The sequence below is a fragment of the Homo sapiens genome, chromosome 5, assembly GCF_000001405.40.
Source record: "Homo sapiens chromosome 5, GRCh38.p14 Primary Assembly".
NCBI classification, from domain to species: domain Eukaryota; kingdom Metazoa; phylum Chordata; class Mammalia; order Primates; family Hominidae; genus Homo; species Homo sapiens.
The window spans coordinates 135818879-135834447 of NC_000005.10; the positions used below are offsets into that span (position 1 = coordinate 135818879).

At 51.6% G+C, this 15569-nt stretch overlaps 1 protein-coding gene and 1 long non-coding RNA gene across 3 annotated transcripts in view, besides 1 other annotated feature; both read left to right on the forward strand.

The window, feature by feature from the left end:
• Positions 1-15569, forward strand: part of SLC25A48 (solute carrier family 25 member 48) — a 309466-nt gene that overhangs the window by 239707 nt on the left and 54190 nt on the right. The gene's annotated exons all lie outside the window — the stretch shown is intronic.
• On the forward strand, positions 2905-7704 carry LOC107986453 (uncharacterized). The gene is made up of 4 exons (NR_171171.1): positions 2905-3068; positions 5525-5938; positions 6847-7117; positions 7588-7704. It is a non-coding gene; the product is annotated as an uncharacterized LOC107986453 (long non-coding RNA).
• Positions 14750-15251: an enhancer, noted in NCBI's record as "H3K4me1 hESC enhancer chr5:135169317-135169818 (GRCh37/hg19 assembly coordinates)". NCBI's record gives its function as "activates a minimal SCP1, AML or CMV promoter by ChIP-STARR-seq in naive H9 embryonic stem cells {active_cell/tissue: H9 hESC(naive)}" and the evidence as "EXISTENCE:reporter gene assay evidence [ECO:0000049][PMID:30033119]".

Here is a 15569-nt window from a genome sequence, read left to right on the forward strand (position 1 = left end):
ACTATAAAAAAAAACCAAATGAAAATGTTAGAACTGAAAAATACGAAATGTGAAAAAAAATTTTCACTGAATGATTTCAGTAGCAGAATGGTGATGTCAAGAGGAAAGAGTCTGTGAGCTTAAAGATAGATCCATATGATTTACACAATCTGAAGGACACAGAGAAAAGGTTAAGAAACAAATGAGCAGAGCCTCAGGGATCCATGGAAAAACATTAAAAAAAAAAATCTAACATACATGACATTGGAGTCCCAGAAGGCGAGAAGAAATAGGCTAAAAAAAAAAATTTGACAAAATAAAGATCTAAAGCTTCCTAAATGTGGTGAAAAATGTAAATCAATGTACTTAAGAGGCTCTGTAAACCCCAGAAAGGATAAGGTCAATGAAAACCATGCCTAGACACATTATAAAGTGCTAAAAACCTTATCTGTTACCACTTACAAAGCTTAAAGAAAAACATCTTCAAAACAGCTAGAGAAGAATGGCACACTACATACAGTAGAATAACAACAGGGATATATCCATGCAGTGGAATAGTGCTCAACAAAACAGGAACAAACTATTGATTCGTGCAACAGCATAGATTAATCTCAATAGCATTATGCTAAGAGAAATCATACAAAAGCATACACTTTAGATTCCATTTATATAAAATTCTAGAAAATGTAAAATAATCTGGAGTGACAGCAGATCAATGGTTGTCTGTGGATGGGAATGGAGGGAAAATGGATTATAAAACTGAATGAGAAAATTTTGGGGGTTGATATAAATATTTGTTATCCTGACCATGGTGATAGTTTCTGAGGTGTGTACATATGTGAAAATTGATCAAATTGTACACTTTATGTAGCTAATTGTACTTTAATTATAACAATAAAGTTATTAAAATGGGAAAAGATGTAAACCCTTAAATGAAAATATACAAATTGGCAGTATGCACATAAAAGAAATGCTCAACATCATTAGTCATCAAGAAAATGCAAATTAAAACCAGCGTGGTATCTATACACCCACGAGAATGGCAGAAGTTAAAAAGTGGTGGTAAGAATGTGAAGAAACTGGAACTTTTACACATTACTGTTGGGAATGTAAAATGAATGGATCATTTTATATTCCATAAAATGGAAACAGTTTGGCAGTTTCTTATTTAGTTAAACATACACTTACCATGTGATCAAACTACTCAAATCCTAGCTATTTACCTAAGAGAATGAAAACTATACCCACTCAAAGACTTGTACCTAACCATTTCTAGCAGCACTATTCACAATGGAAACAACTAGACTGTATACACAGAAGGCTAGATAAGCAAATTGTGTTACGCCACATAACAGTATACTACTCCTCAATAAAAAGGAGCAAACTGTACCACAAAAAGGATGAATCTTAAAAACATAGTGCTGAATATTAGATGCTCACTAGGCACAAAAGAACATGCACTGTGTGATTCCGTGTATTCTAGAATAGGTAAAATGAATCTATAGTATCAAAAAGCACATCAGTGGTTGCTTGGAGTTGGGAAGCAAGAGAGCAGATTACCTGAAAAGAGGCATTTCTATATATTAATTCAGAGGTTGTTATTTGGTGTATAAATTCATGAACAGCACACTTTACGGTGTATATAAATTAGACCTCAATGAAGTTGAATTTTTAAGAGGTGATGACATAACATGAATTAAATTTATATAAAACTAAAGAGATCAAAATAATATGGTATTGGTACAAAGAGAGACAAAGAGATGGATAAAAAAAATCATAAAAATGGACAAGTTTGCAATAGCTAAGAATTTAGAATGTGTCTATTTTGGTATTTCAAATCAGGTTAGGGACAAATAATTTATTCTTAAGTGACGTTGAGTCGAGTGACTATTCAAAATATAAAATAAGAGGCTTATCTATTACCATTTACAACAACTAAATTTGACATAGATTAAAGAGTTAAGTCTATACAAAAGAAAATGGCCCAGCAGTAGATGGGGACCAGGGTCTGAGGGCACAGAGTAGAGAGATGTGGTAGCCATGCCTGAGCCTGGAGAACCCGGCTGGGTCACTCCTGACTTGGACACCAGCCCTGGGGAAGTGTGAGGTCCTGGAGATGTCTCAGCCTCGTGACCATCAATGGCATTCCAAGGCTTTCTTGCCTCAAGCCCTAAGGCTAGAAACTAACTAGAGCCCCCTTTTCAGGCTGGTTCACCTTCCTGTCCCGGCACTGAGGCTCAACTCTCCAATCTGCAAAATGGCATGACAGTGGTGCACTTTCTTACTTGAAGATTTGTGGAGAGGACTACATGACACACCACATGGGAACTTCCCTGGGCAGTAGTTAACACTTAGGAGCACCAGGCCTGGGAGAGGAGCTGGGGACGGTGGCTCTGTGGGACAAAGCAGATGTCCTACATCATCAGCCCTCCCATGACTGCTCCACTTGTCTTGTGTCCTGCCAGCAAGTGACTGGAGAGGAGCCACAGAGGAGAGGCAGCTGAAAGCGAGTGACAAGGGCAGAGACTGGTGTCTCAGCCCCACCCTGAGCGGACTGAGGCACCCCAGAGAGCAGCGGCCCATGCAGCTCACTCCAGTTCCCTGGACTTGGGGGAACAGATCCTTGGGGCCCTTCCTGACCATCTACTGGAGGTGCTGAGTCACTCTCACAGTCTCTGGGCAGAAGTCCCAGGTGAGCTCACTGGCCCCCAGTCATGAAGAACTGATCAGATTCCAGAAGATGTTTGCATTCTCTTTGTTTCCCCTGAGTCTCCTGGGGAGATGTGGATTAAGCTGAATTAAGAGACAGGTGATGATCACAGGTGTTGGGTGCTTGGGTGGAGTCTCCATGGTAACAGAGCCATCTGGCTTTCTTGCCTGGCACCAGACCTTATGACTTCATGATGGAATCTTCTCTCAGCAGGCAGAGGGGGATTTGCCAGGGTAAAGAGGAGGCTGGGAGGAAGAGGCCTGCCGAGGGAGGCTTTGTCTTTTCAGCCAGAGTTTGACAATTAGGCTTCATCATGTCACGATGCGGTGCTACTGCTGACCCCAAAACACAACGCCGGAAGTGGTGCTCACTAGAGACTGTGAGTGGCATTGTGCACCTGCCATCTTGCTGAGGCCTCCCAGGGGAGCTCAGAGGACACCTGGCCTCCTTCAATCCAGGACTCACTGTTGAAGTGGAGCCGGGGCCCTCGCAGGAAAGAATGAGCTGTGGGAGGGCCACTGGTCCACCACAGGGAGTCTGTGCTGTCCAGTGCCCACTGGATGGCAGGAAGGGTAGGGCCTTAGGTAAGCCCCCCCAACAGAGTGAACCTTGGCCATGGCAATGGGCCTCTCTCCCCAAGCTGCTCACAGGGTGGTGCTGGGAGAGCCCTCAAGCCTGTGCCAAATCCCTTTATCCCCACAAATGAGCCATCCAGCAAACCCACATGAGTTAGTGTCCTAGGGCTGCCAGAACAAATTAACACAAACTTAGTAGCTTAAAACAACACACATTTATTCTTTCACAGTTCTGAAGGCCAAAATTTCAAACTCAAGGTGTCGGCAGAGTTGTTTTCTTCTTGGGGTCTCAGCAGGGAATCTGTTCCTTCATGCCTCCCTCCTAGCTTCCTGTGATGATGCAATTCTTGATGTGCCTTGGTTTGTGGCAGCATCATTCCAATAGCTTCCTCCATCATCACATGACATTCTACCTGTGTGTCTGTGTCCAAATTTCCCTCATCTTATAGGGACAAGCCATTGGATTTAGGGCCCACCCTGACCCGGTGTGACCTCATCTTAACTTGATTGCATCTGCAAAGATCCCATTTCCAAATAAGGTCATATCCACAAGTGCCAGGGCTTAAGACTTGAACATGTCCTATGGGGGACACACAACAACATATAATTCACAGCGAACAGAGCACAGGCTTCAGAGTGGGTCAGACCTGGGTGCTGCCATTTAGCCTGTCCCTTCTGCTTGGCACAGTGAGGTTGGAAAGGCAAGTCTATCCTGGTGGGCTTCCTAAGGATTACCTGAGAGAGAGGACCACAGAGCTCTGCAGAGTGTCTGGGAGTGGTAGAAACTCAGCAAAGATGGCCCTGAGCTGGGTCTCTGGGACTTGGAGGAGGGGGCCTGGTTCCTGCTCACCAGAAGCTGGCAGTCTATGGGCCAGTAGGCACTTACCAAGGAGTCTGGCTTAGGACAGGGACCTCAGTGGTCAGGCTGCCTGCAGGGAGTTGGGGGAGAGCATGGACCACAGGAGCATGTGTCAGGGGCGGGGACTCAAGGCCCAGGGGCTAGGGTGGGAGTCGGGAAGGCCAGGGTGGGATTCACGAAGGCTGGGGGCTAAGCCACCATAAGTTCTTCCATGGGTCAGGAGTCCACAAGTGGAACAGCCTGGGGGCTTGCTCAGGATCAAAGGGGCCCCCTGCCATGTTCCTGATGGGCTCTGGGTCTGGCATAGTCAATGTGGGAATGAGCTGGCTTTTCACTACCTGGCACTCTGGGCCACGTGTCCCCTCTGGGCCTGGGAAGTAATTCCTCATTCCGCTTCTCCACCCTCTCCCCAAGACGTGACTTCTCCCTCCTATCACCATGGAGTCTGATAAAGACTTCGTTCCTGGCCAAGGTGTTCTCTTTTTGTCTGCCTCTTTCCTTCCCTCCCACCCTTCTTTCCTTTCTTCCAATACTTGGTGTCTACCATATGCCAGGGTTTTTCTAGGCCTTCGGGACACAGAAGTGATCTAGACAGATGGGCCTTGCCTTGGTGGAATTTGTAACTAACAGGATGAGAGATATTAATCAAGAAACCACACAGTCAAATATTTCACAGCAGAGGAACGGGTGCTCTGAATGAGGGGTATGAGGGTGGTGGCAGTCATGAAGAAGGTGATGCCACTAAGCCAGGGACATTAGGGAAGTGACCTTAACCAAGCGCTGAGGAAGTCACCACCTAGGAGAAAGGAGAAGGAAGAGACTCTGGGCAGAAGCATTAGCCCATGCAGAGCCCCTGTGGCAGGAGGATGCTTGGCAAGTGAGATGGATCAAGAGAAGGCCTGTGTGGCTGGACTGGACAGAGTGAAGGGAATATGAGTTGGACTGAGAGCCAGCAGACTAGTTGAAAAAGTGTCAGTTGAGTTCCTATTGTGAACGAGAGGCACCAGACAGATAAGACAGATAAGACCACCCCACACATGAAGCAGGCAGACCACACAGCCCAGGAAGAGCATGCCAGTGATGAAATGATCTGGAGTCACCCTGCAGGGAGGCTGGGGCTGGGAAGGCTCTTCTGAGCTGAGAGTCCAGGAGCAGATCTTGGCACAGGCTCTAAGGGAAGGACAAGTTTGGTGTGACTTAGGAATGGCAAGAAGCCCTGAGTGCTTGAGCAATCTAGCCATGGTTGAGGCCCATTGCTGGCTTTTCACAGAGGAGAACCACAGTCAGGTTTGGGCTTTGTAAGACCCCTCTGGACTCCAATGTAGGCAGGGACTGGGGACAGAGCTGGTGTGGTTAGGAATTCAGGATGCAGTAACAGATGGAACGTCCTTCTTTTCTCAGATGTGTCAGAACTGTGACGCTGAATCCGGAGCCCCAACCTCTCCTAGCCTCCTAGAGGAGGATGACCCAGGACCCTTGTCCTCCCAACAGCAGGCCACCAGTTCAAGGGACAAGAAGCCCCTAAGCTCCCTCCACCTTTCACATAGGGCCCAGGTGGCCTTGGAGTACCTGCCTTTCTTCTGCACCTATGGGTGCCTCCTGGAAGAGGAGGGGTTGGTCCTGCAGCCCAAGACACCGCTCCAGGAGGACTCAGAACTGCTCAGTGGGTTCTTCCCTTACTACCGCTCTGAGGAGGAGAGTTTGCCCAGCCTGGCCCTTCCTGGCTGGTCACACAGGGGCTCCCAAGATCTGCCCACTGAGAAGGAGGCACGGGCTGGCTGCTTCTGCAGGACAACAGTCAGGGACGAATGCTCTGTGAGTTGAGGAGGCCATAGAGGGTGGGGGGAGCAGCACTAGGCCCCCGCATCCTTCAAACCTCTCTGTCCTGGGGCCCAGACTCTAACAGGCCCCTGGACAGGCCCCTCTCAGGGCTGCTGCGGCCCTTGGAGCAAGGTGTCACTGGTTGGGAGCACAGACACTGCAGGAAGACTGTCCTGTTCAAGCCCAGCTTGACCACCTGCTAGGAGAGCGGCCTGGGGAACGTGGTTTCCTTATAAAAGAGAGAACAGCAGCAGCAACAATAAAGCCATTGTGAGAATTACATACAACCACGTACCTAAAGTGCTCAGCAGGATGGTGAGCTCACAGAAACATTTATTTGGTCCTTATGACTTGCTAGGCTCTCAGACAAATGTTTCATTAGCATCATCTCATTTAATCCTAATAGTAATCCTATAAAACAAGCCGTACTATTATTCCCATTTTATGAATGAGAAAACGAGTCTCAGAGAAGTTAAGTGACTTGGCCAAGGGCACATAGCTAGCAAGTAGCAAACCTGGGATTTGACCCGAAGCTTGTGGTCTATAACATTCCTAATCACCACCATGCAGCTGGGCACTGTGGCCCATGACTGCAGAGACAGAGGAGGCAAGGCCGGTGGGTTTTAATCCCAGACACACCCCTCCCAGCAGGGTGCCCTTGGATGGGTGAGTGACATTGCTGAGTGCTTCCTGGGCTGTAGAGCAGACATGGGCCTGTCCTTTTCTGGGACTGCCACTGTGGTGTTGCAGGCACAGGCTGGTCCCGGGTATCTGGGCCTGAACCTGGGAGGGGGGCTTGCATCGGGCTGACCTTCCTGTTCCTTCATACCCAGGCTGCCTCGGCACACTAGGACCTCATCTCTGGGTCCCCACACTCACTGGCCTGCTGCCCCGTCCTGCAGGTCTCGGCAGAGTTCCCCCGTGACAGTGACCGGGATGCCCCTCTCTCCAGGGACCATGGTCTTTATGCCTCAGGATTTGTGCATTACTACAGAACCCCTGAGGAGGGGTTACACACTAGCCCTGGGCCTCCTGCCTTTCCATCTGGGAGCCAGGGGCCCTCAGGGGCTGCCCAGGGCTGGTGCAGTCACACCACGGGGAAGCCGGAGCTGACTGCAACAGAAACCACTGGAGAGCAGGCCCCCAGCACCCACTGACTGTCGAGGGATGAAGGTGATTGCGGGGAGGCTCCCAGAGGTCAGTCAGTTTGCCCTGGGACCAGAGCTGGCCTGGGACCCTGGCACTCAGGCCTGTATTCTCTCTGTCTCAGTGCCCATGACCATGGATGAGGGGCATCCTACCCCCCTTACCCAGCAGAGCCAGCAGGAAGAACCCAACCCTTGGCAGATTCTCCCAGCCCCTCTCAGCCCACCAGGCTGCTCCCTGCCAGCATGAGGTGTCCCACTCCGCAGGCCTAGGGTTTGCCTTTCTCCTCAAGCAGCAGAGGGGAGAAACTCAGCCTGTGCCCCATGTTCAGCCACTCCACCCCCAGGAAGAGACCCATCCCGCCCCACGCTGCCACCTTCCTGTTCTCCTAGCTGGAAAAACTGCCACATGAGAATTGAACAGCCACACCAAAAGTGGCTTTGGAGAGAAGTGTCCATCTTGTCCAGCACTCTGACCTCAGACCATTCCTTTTGTAGCCTGACCCAAGCTCAGACAGAGGAAGCAGGAGCCACCTGAACAACTGAAGGGTGCAGACACCCAGAAGCTGGTTTTGTAAATAAATCGTGCACCTTGGCGCTGGTGCACTAATTGGATGCTTTGGAGTAATACTTGCAGCTTCCATTTATTAAGCATTTACTTTGTACTAGGCACTTTACAGAGATCATCTCCATAATCATGGGTTGTAGACACTGGTGTCATCTCCATTCTACAGCTGAGTAAACAGGCTAAGAGATGTTACATAGGGTGCCCGAGCTCACACAGCTAGCAGACAGCCGGGAACTGTGGAGCTGGGATTCACACCAGCTCTGTCTGACCTCGGGCCAAGTACTTAAGCACCTCCTCACTACATTCTTCCTCAGTGGGTCTATGCATAGCAAGAAATGAGCCACGTGCTCCCCTAGACCCATCTTGCTCTCTCTTTTTCCTCATTGCCTCTGCACCTTTCCTTCCCCTGCCCCTGCCCTTGGGTAGAGCAGGTAAGGATGGTGACTCTGCATGTGTCTGCTAGGCCCTACCTCCTTGGACCTTGTGGACCTGTTTTCTGGTGCTCCAGCCCAACTTCCAACCCCAGGCTCACCTGGTGAGTGGCTGAATCACACTGGGATTTTGAGAGTATATGCTCATCCCACCTACCCCGGGACCAGACACTTAGATGCTGATTCCTGTTTGAAAATCCTTTAGTGCCAGCCACACTGGCATGTCCCAAGTTCACAGCCTCTCTGTCCCGTGGCGCTGGTTTTGTGTCTCCTCCCCGGGTGTAGGTTCTTTGTTTGCTTTGACACTCACACACCTCTGACCACTGGATCCCTGCTCCTCCACCCGATGGCTGCTTGTCTGGAATGCCCTCACCTGCTCACATGCTTCCTGAGGATGAGGACTTTAAGAAAGAGAGAGAAATCAATCGGTCACACTAGAGTTACATCAAAGAAATTCTTTTTAGAAAATCTATTTTTTACTATTTCCAAGGCACTCCTATGACTTCCCATTGGGTTTGGGGATTTGGGATTTGGAGTATGATGGGAGTATGAAGAAATAAAGGTACCCTTGCCAGGAAAACTCGTCTTTGTTCTTGGGGTGAGGCAATAGGACTGTTCCCTTTATTTTCCATAAGGCTGGAAAACTCTTCCCGACTCCCCTTGCATTCTCCCAACTGGTGCTGCTCAGGAGGTTCCCTCTGCCTCTGTGCCCTTCTCCACTGCTCACAACTTAGCTTGTCATTTTAGTTTGGGGCCTCATCGAGGAGCTGGCATCTGTGGGCCCTCACTGCCCCCAAAGGAACAGACAGGTTGGGAGGTATCCAACCCTCTGCCTCTGTGCCCTTCTCCACTGCTCACAACTTAGCTTGTCATTTTAGTTTGGGGCCTCATCGAGGAGCTGGCATCTGTGGGCCCTCACTGCCCCCAAAGGAACAGACAGGTTGGGAGGTATCTATGTCTATGGTACAAACTGGGGCCACTCTCTCCTTGTGCAGCCCAAGCAGGGTCCGAGCCATGTCCCCTCCTCTCTTCCCATGTGTGTGCCATCCAGAACCCAAGGAGGGCCGAGAGCCCTGCAGTAGCCTGTCAGCAACCCCTTGGCGAGCTGGAGGTACCTCCCCTGCTCATGGGGATGAAGAGACCCGCCAGAGGTTTCCCATGCTGCAGAGCTCTCTAAGGGAGTAGTTTGCAGGAAAGATTTGGTGCAAAAGAGATCCCAGATAAGGGGCTGGCTCAGCTGGAAGGGCAGTTTGCTTCTGGCCCACCTGCCGGCCTTGGCTGGGAGCTGTCCATGTGCTAACACAGACGTGAACACTCAGGACACACAGGTCATAACGATGGAGAGATTTGACTTGCTGGGTGTGTTACTGCGTGCCAGTCATGGTGCAGAGTACTTGACATGCATTGACTCACTGAGTGTGTTAAGTGCAGCTTGAGTGAGGTACAGTTATCACCCCCATCTTACAGAGGAGGATGTCCAGGTGCAGTGGATTAAATGACCCAGTGAGCTCCTGCTGGGGGAGGCTGAACTGCCTGCTCTCAGGTGCTGAGGAGGATCATAGCCCTTCTGAGGAGCTGGACAGGCACAGGCCTCAACTTCCCAAGGGCAAGCCCACCAGTTCCCTGCAGAGAAAAATGCTGGTTGCAAGGAGCCTGAGCCAGCCTCAGCATGGGCTATGGAGGTTCATCCAGGTGAGATACAGCTAGCCCCAGAGATGGGCCTTTCATCCACTCGCAGAGCAGCAGCAGGACTGAGGACTGCCTCTAGCCTGTAGACGCCACTGCCCACAGAATCATGGCCTAGCCCCTTTCCTTGGCATTCAGGGTCCTCAGGAGCCAAACTCCAAGCCTTCCAGCTGCCCCTCCTACAGCCATGGGGGCTTTGGGTGAGCAAAACTCTTCCCGACTCCCCTTGCATTCTCCCACCTGGCACTACTCAGGCAGTTCCCTCTGCCTCTGCACACTTCTCCACTGCTCACAACTTAGCTTGTCTTTTTAGTTCCAGCTCAAATGCTGCTCCTTCCCGAGACTTCTGGGTTCTGCCCTCCAAATTTCCTATGGTCCTGGCCTCTATTTGAGGTCAGGCCTGATGTGAGATTTATGGGTCTCCCCCAGCCCAGCAGCTGATGTTTGATGACTGCATGATAGAGGAGAATGCCACATGGCAGAAGATGGAGTAGGCTGTCCCCAAACACTGGCTCTTCTGTCACTGTCAGCACTCAAACTCCTCTGAGTCCCAGGGAGTTTAGCATATAGCAGGTGCTCAGCCAGGCTTTCAGATGGGACCTTGACAGCAGCACGCAGCAGGGTCTCCTCCTACACTCCTACAGAAACCCCTTGATTCCAAACCTCTCCAACCTGGGCTGCCTGGTCCACTGACCTGCCTGGCCTTCAGTCAGGCGGACAGCAGCATTTCCTATTCTCAGATGTCCGCAGAGCCAGCCTCAACCCGCAGGTTGACTCTGATGGAAAGAAGCACATATGATTTTCAAGCTGATATCGCCGCGGCCCAGAATTTCAGACTTCTGTGGACCCACAGGACCTTGTCAGGAAAGAAAGGATAGAGGGCAGCCCAGGGCACTGGGATGGTATTGGGGAAGGGATGTTTTCCCCCTGATTAAACTGTTGCAGGAGTCCTATGAATATGGCACAGTTGGACAGTGTTAGTACCATCACACTGATAGTGGAGAAACTGAGGCAGAAAAGTTAGGGCATTTATGCAGAGGGGTGGGGGTGGGGGCAAGGGTCTTTGGGAAAGTCACTTCTACTTCCCGAGTCTTGGCTAGGAGGCAGCACTTTTTTTAATAGCATGGACCCTGGAGTCAAACAGCAGGTGTGACTTCATCATCCTCCACTGACTGCTGTGTGGCTTTAGAGAAACTGCTTGACCTCTCTGGACCTCATTCTTCTCACCTACCCAAGGAGAACTTGCGTCAGAGAATTCAACAAGATGGTGTAAACGGAGCATGCAGCACTGGGCCAGCTCGGAGCCCTGAGGTGGAAGAAAGCCTGGGACATTCAAGGCTTCGATAGATCTACACAGGTACAGAGATTGGGGTGTCGCCTCCCATCCAAGCACACAGTACTCAAACACCTTAGATGGGTTCTCATCAAGCTTCTCCGAGGTTTGCTCTGGCACCTCAGACTCCCCTCTGAGCCTCCTGGGCCAGCATCTCCTCCACGGCCCACACATATACTGAGTGTGGCTGTCTGCCAGCCAGTGCCAGGCAAACCGGGCCAGGAAACTATCCAGAATGAGCAGCCACGCTTGTCTTTTCCGCCCGAGAGCCTCAAGCGCTGCGCAGCAGCGCCCTCTCCTGGCGCATCTTGATGAGACCTCCGCAGCTGATATCCCCGTGGCCAAGAATTTCAGACTTCTGCAGACACCACCTAAGAGGAGATCGTCCTTACCTTCCAAAAAATAGAGGAAGAATTAAGGCCTGGACTTTCCCAAGATGCCCAGAGAGGCAGCAGCAGCACTAGGACCAGAGCCCAGGCAGCCCAGCTTTCCCGCCAGCTGCTTCACCCCCTCACTTCACAGCCACTTACCTCTGCTTCTTGACTGCCAGCCTCAAGCTGAACAGGTGATGGGCCAGATTCAGTCTGCACATGCTCTGCACATACTTTCCCAAAGTGCCATCAACAAAGGAAGAAATCCTGCTCCCAATGAGAAGCTCGAAAATCGTGTGCTCCTTTTCCTTCCCATCAGAGTCAAGGAGGGAGCTCAGAGCTCCCGTTGTCTGAGGCCAGTGCAGGAATGATGCAGCTGGGGCAAACACTCAAAGAAGAAAGACAGCACAAGCCCGTGGTCCGGTTTCATTAATCCTTTGAACTCGGTCCTGAGTAATTGCTGTCTGCCTGCTCTGTGGCAGAGCCCGAAAATGTCACGGTGGCAGATAGGTCAGACGGGTCCTATCTATCTTCCTGGAGCAACCAAGCATTGCACAAGGACTGAGCGGCATGGTGAGAGTTGGAAAAAGAAGCAGGGGTGCCTTGAGAGAGGGCAACCAGGTCGTGACCTCCTGTGAGGGGCCTGGGGAGGCCTCCTCATGCAGAAGATGCTTTGGTATAGATCTGAAGGAGGTAGGAGTCGGCTATGAGGAGGGCAGGGAGAGGGAGCTGCAGGTGGAGGGAGTGATCAGTGCAAAAGCTCTGTGGGGGAAATGTGGCTGGTACCTTTGAGGGCCTGAAAGAAGCCGGGCTTCTGTGATGCTCCAGGAAAGGCCAGGGGGAGTCCTCACACCTGGGAATGATGTGACCACCTCTTCAGCTCTGTCTTGTATCCAGACACCCTCCTTGTCTGCCAGCCACCAGCAGGACCTTCAGACTTTTCCCCATGTCTCCTCATTTAAGGCCCAGCGGACTAAGCAGTGACTGACTGCCCATCAGGCCTGCGCCAGGCTCTGCAGGTCCAGTGCAGAATGAGGCAGTACCCTCTTCTCAGTGGGCTCACAGTCTGGATGGGAAGACAATCAACCACTGAGTCTGACAGCAGAGATACAGATATGCTCAGAATATTCAGGAAACACAGATGAGATCTAGAAGATACCATGTGGCATAGGGTGATGAGGAAGGCCTTCAAGAAAGGCCTGTCAGGAGGTGACAGCTGAACTGAGTCTTAAAGAAGAAGGGGGCAGGGATTAGCCAGGGGAGGAGGGAGAGGGTGTTCCCCACAAGGGAATAGCATGTGCGCAGTCACACACATGCACAGAATGTGAGACATTGAGGTGCAAAGTGGAAAAGCAGCCAGACCCAGTCCTACTGAGCTACACACAACACACTGGGGAATTGGAATTTATGCTCAAGATCACAGAAAGTCATCAAAGTTCACTAAACTGAGCAGATTCAAAGTTTCAGAAGCTCACTGGGGCAGTAGGACAGGGGCAGAGGGACCCAGGAACCCGTGTCCACTGTGATCCAGGCAGGGCAGTGGCACAGGGCTGGGCTGAGCCACATTCGGAGACAGCAATGAGGGCTGGGTGTCATTGAGGGGATGGACACTCAGGACTTTGCGGCTGGTGGGATAAGACCTTGGGAGAGAGAAATGGAGGATGGCATCCAAGGTTCTGTTTTGGGTGGCCACTGGGTGGAGGTGTGTTTCTCTAAGTTGAAGAGGCACTGGCGGAGGAAGAGAGAGTTCATCGAGGGATGCGCTAAGATGACCCGAGCCACCCAGGTGGAGGTGTTGAGTAGAGGGATGTCTGGACTCTGAAGCAAGGTGTGGGGGTTATACGCTGAGAGATGGGAGGTACGGGTGGGTGAGGGTCCAGATGGGGCCCTGAGGAATTCACACCTAAGCATGAGAAGGGGCCATGGCACCAGGGAAGAAGATGAGAAGAGCTGGAGAAGCAGGAGGAAAGCTGGGTGAGGGCAGGAATCTGGAAGCAGAGGGGAGCAGGCGGCATGGGCAGCGCCTTCACTGCAGCAGGTCAGGCATGGACAGCTGACCCAGGCCTTTGCTGCCCGAGTGTGGCAGGTGGACATGGGGAGGGGATTGTTGGCTTGCCTGAGAGAGTGGTTGGGGAGGTGGGAGCTGTGGGGCTGTGTAGACTAAAGGTGCAGCCAGGAGACTCCAAGTTTGGAGAGCCTTCCCTGATTGCTTCCTGTAGAACGATGGACTCCCTCTCCAGTGCTCTTACAGCCACCTCTGTGTAGCATCTCAGATGGATTGTCTCCTCTCAAACAGAGACTTTCCCCAAAGCAAGGCACTAGCACAGACTGATGCTCAGGAAATTGCTGTGGCCTGAAAGGGTAAATAAGAAATGGGGAGTGGGCCACTAGTTAACAAATGCTATCAGCATAGCCCATCTGCATGTCCTGCTACTGAGGAAAGTGCTCTGAGAGGTCATCATTGGGGAAGGAACTGAGGGAGAAAGAAAATGGGGTTGCTTTCTGGCCCTAGTCATGCAGGGAGTGGATCTCTGTGGAGTTTCTTTCTCTCTGTAATGGCCAGTAGCTGCCCTGCCCTCTCCCGAGTGTAGAATGCAAATGTGAATGGCAGCACACTGCAAATGGTGCTCTGAAGTGCGAAGGCCAGGAAGAAGGGATGGCCTGGATCCTGGCCACAGAGCCAGCATTCTGCCTGGGCTCATAGCCCTGTGGTCTGGGATTCTCCAGGCCTGGCCATGGTTGCTGGTAAACCTAGGGTCCTCCCCTCACTTCCCTGGGTGATGCGCCCCATGGGCAGGTTTGTGGCATGCATATGGGAATGGAGCACAGTAATTCATTTTGGAAAGCAACCCACTCCTGCTCTGCTCCAGCTCGTTAGTAGTTCAAGCAGCAGCTTTCTGGGCCTGGGAGGCCATCCTGGGCTGCCAGGGACACTGCCTGCCAACGTAAGACCTCCTCAATTGGTGCTGACACAGGACTGAGGGGATGACAAACTGCCTGGCACCCCTTAGGTGGTCTTCCAGAGGAGTGGGTTTTGAGAATTGTCAGGCTTTCCACTTGTGGATGCATTCCAATGGTGAACTCAGTAAAAGGCCACTCTTCAGAGACCTGCATTTCTCATAGCAGCCCTAGGCATATATCCCGGGCATGACAGGGCACAGCTTGGGGTTGATGCTGATGGCAACTCTGAAGCCTCAAGACTGAGTGGGTCACCATAAGCAGCAGGAAGTTGAGGTGCCGGGATGGGGTGTGATGCTTCCACTCCTCCCTGGAACTTTGCAATACTTCCCTAGCCAGGCCGGCGACTCCATCCCGGGCTGTCCTCTCCCGATACAGGTCCACTCTCTGTGTGCCGGGGCAGGGGAGGGAGTGATGCTGCAGGAAGGTCCCTTCACCTCCAAGTCCCCACTCCTCAGTGGACAGGCCTTTGTAGGATCAAGCTTCGGTGGTCAGGCTCTGTCTTGCTTTGGAAGAAGGAGGTCTGGCTGGCTGTCGCTTCATATTAACCTGGATGACGTGACATGAATATGCCCAGTGGGACAAGAGCAGGCCCAGCAGAGGCCCCTTCCTCCTGACCATACCCTTCACCATTCTTGTCAACCTTGGGGTGTCTTGGCTGAGACCCACAGCTGAGTCCCTGCTGGAAACTAGCAGAACGCTGGGGGGCTTCGAGTCTTCTTAGGAAGGGAGGAAAGACACTCTCATTGTAATCAAAAGCCTCTCCGCACAGCAGGCCACTTCTCCAGTGAGCACGGACCCCTGGCCTGGGGCCTGGCTGAATGTAGGGTCTGCCTACAGAGAGGGAGTTTGAGGTACAGAGCACCACCTCTGCCTTCTGTTGGCCCAGGGCGGACAGTGTAGGGTGAGCCAGGGCCAGGCAGGGAGCTGGGCCCCTAGAGAGCTGTAGCTGAAAGTTAGACATGACCCTGAACCACCAGGTGCCTGCTCTAGGCACGGGGTACTGAGTGGGACATGGCTGAGATGAACAAAAAGGCATCACTGCCCAGAGTTGGGATGGGAGAGAGTCCACAGCTGATTGGAATCAGCATTGTCAGCACAGCACAGTACAGGGAGATACGCGCATTGCCGTC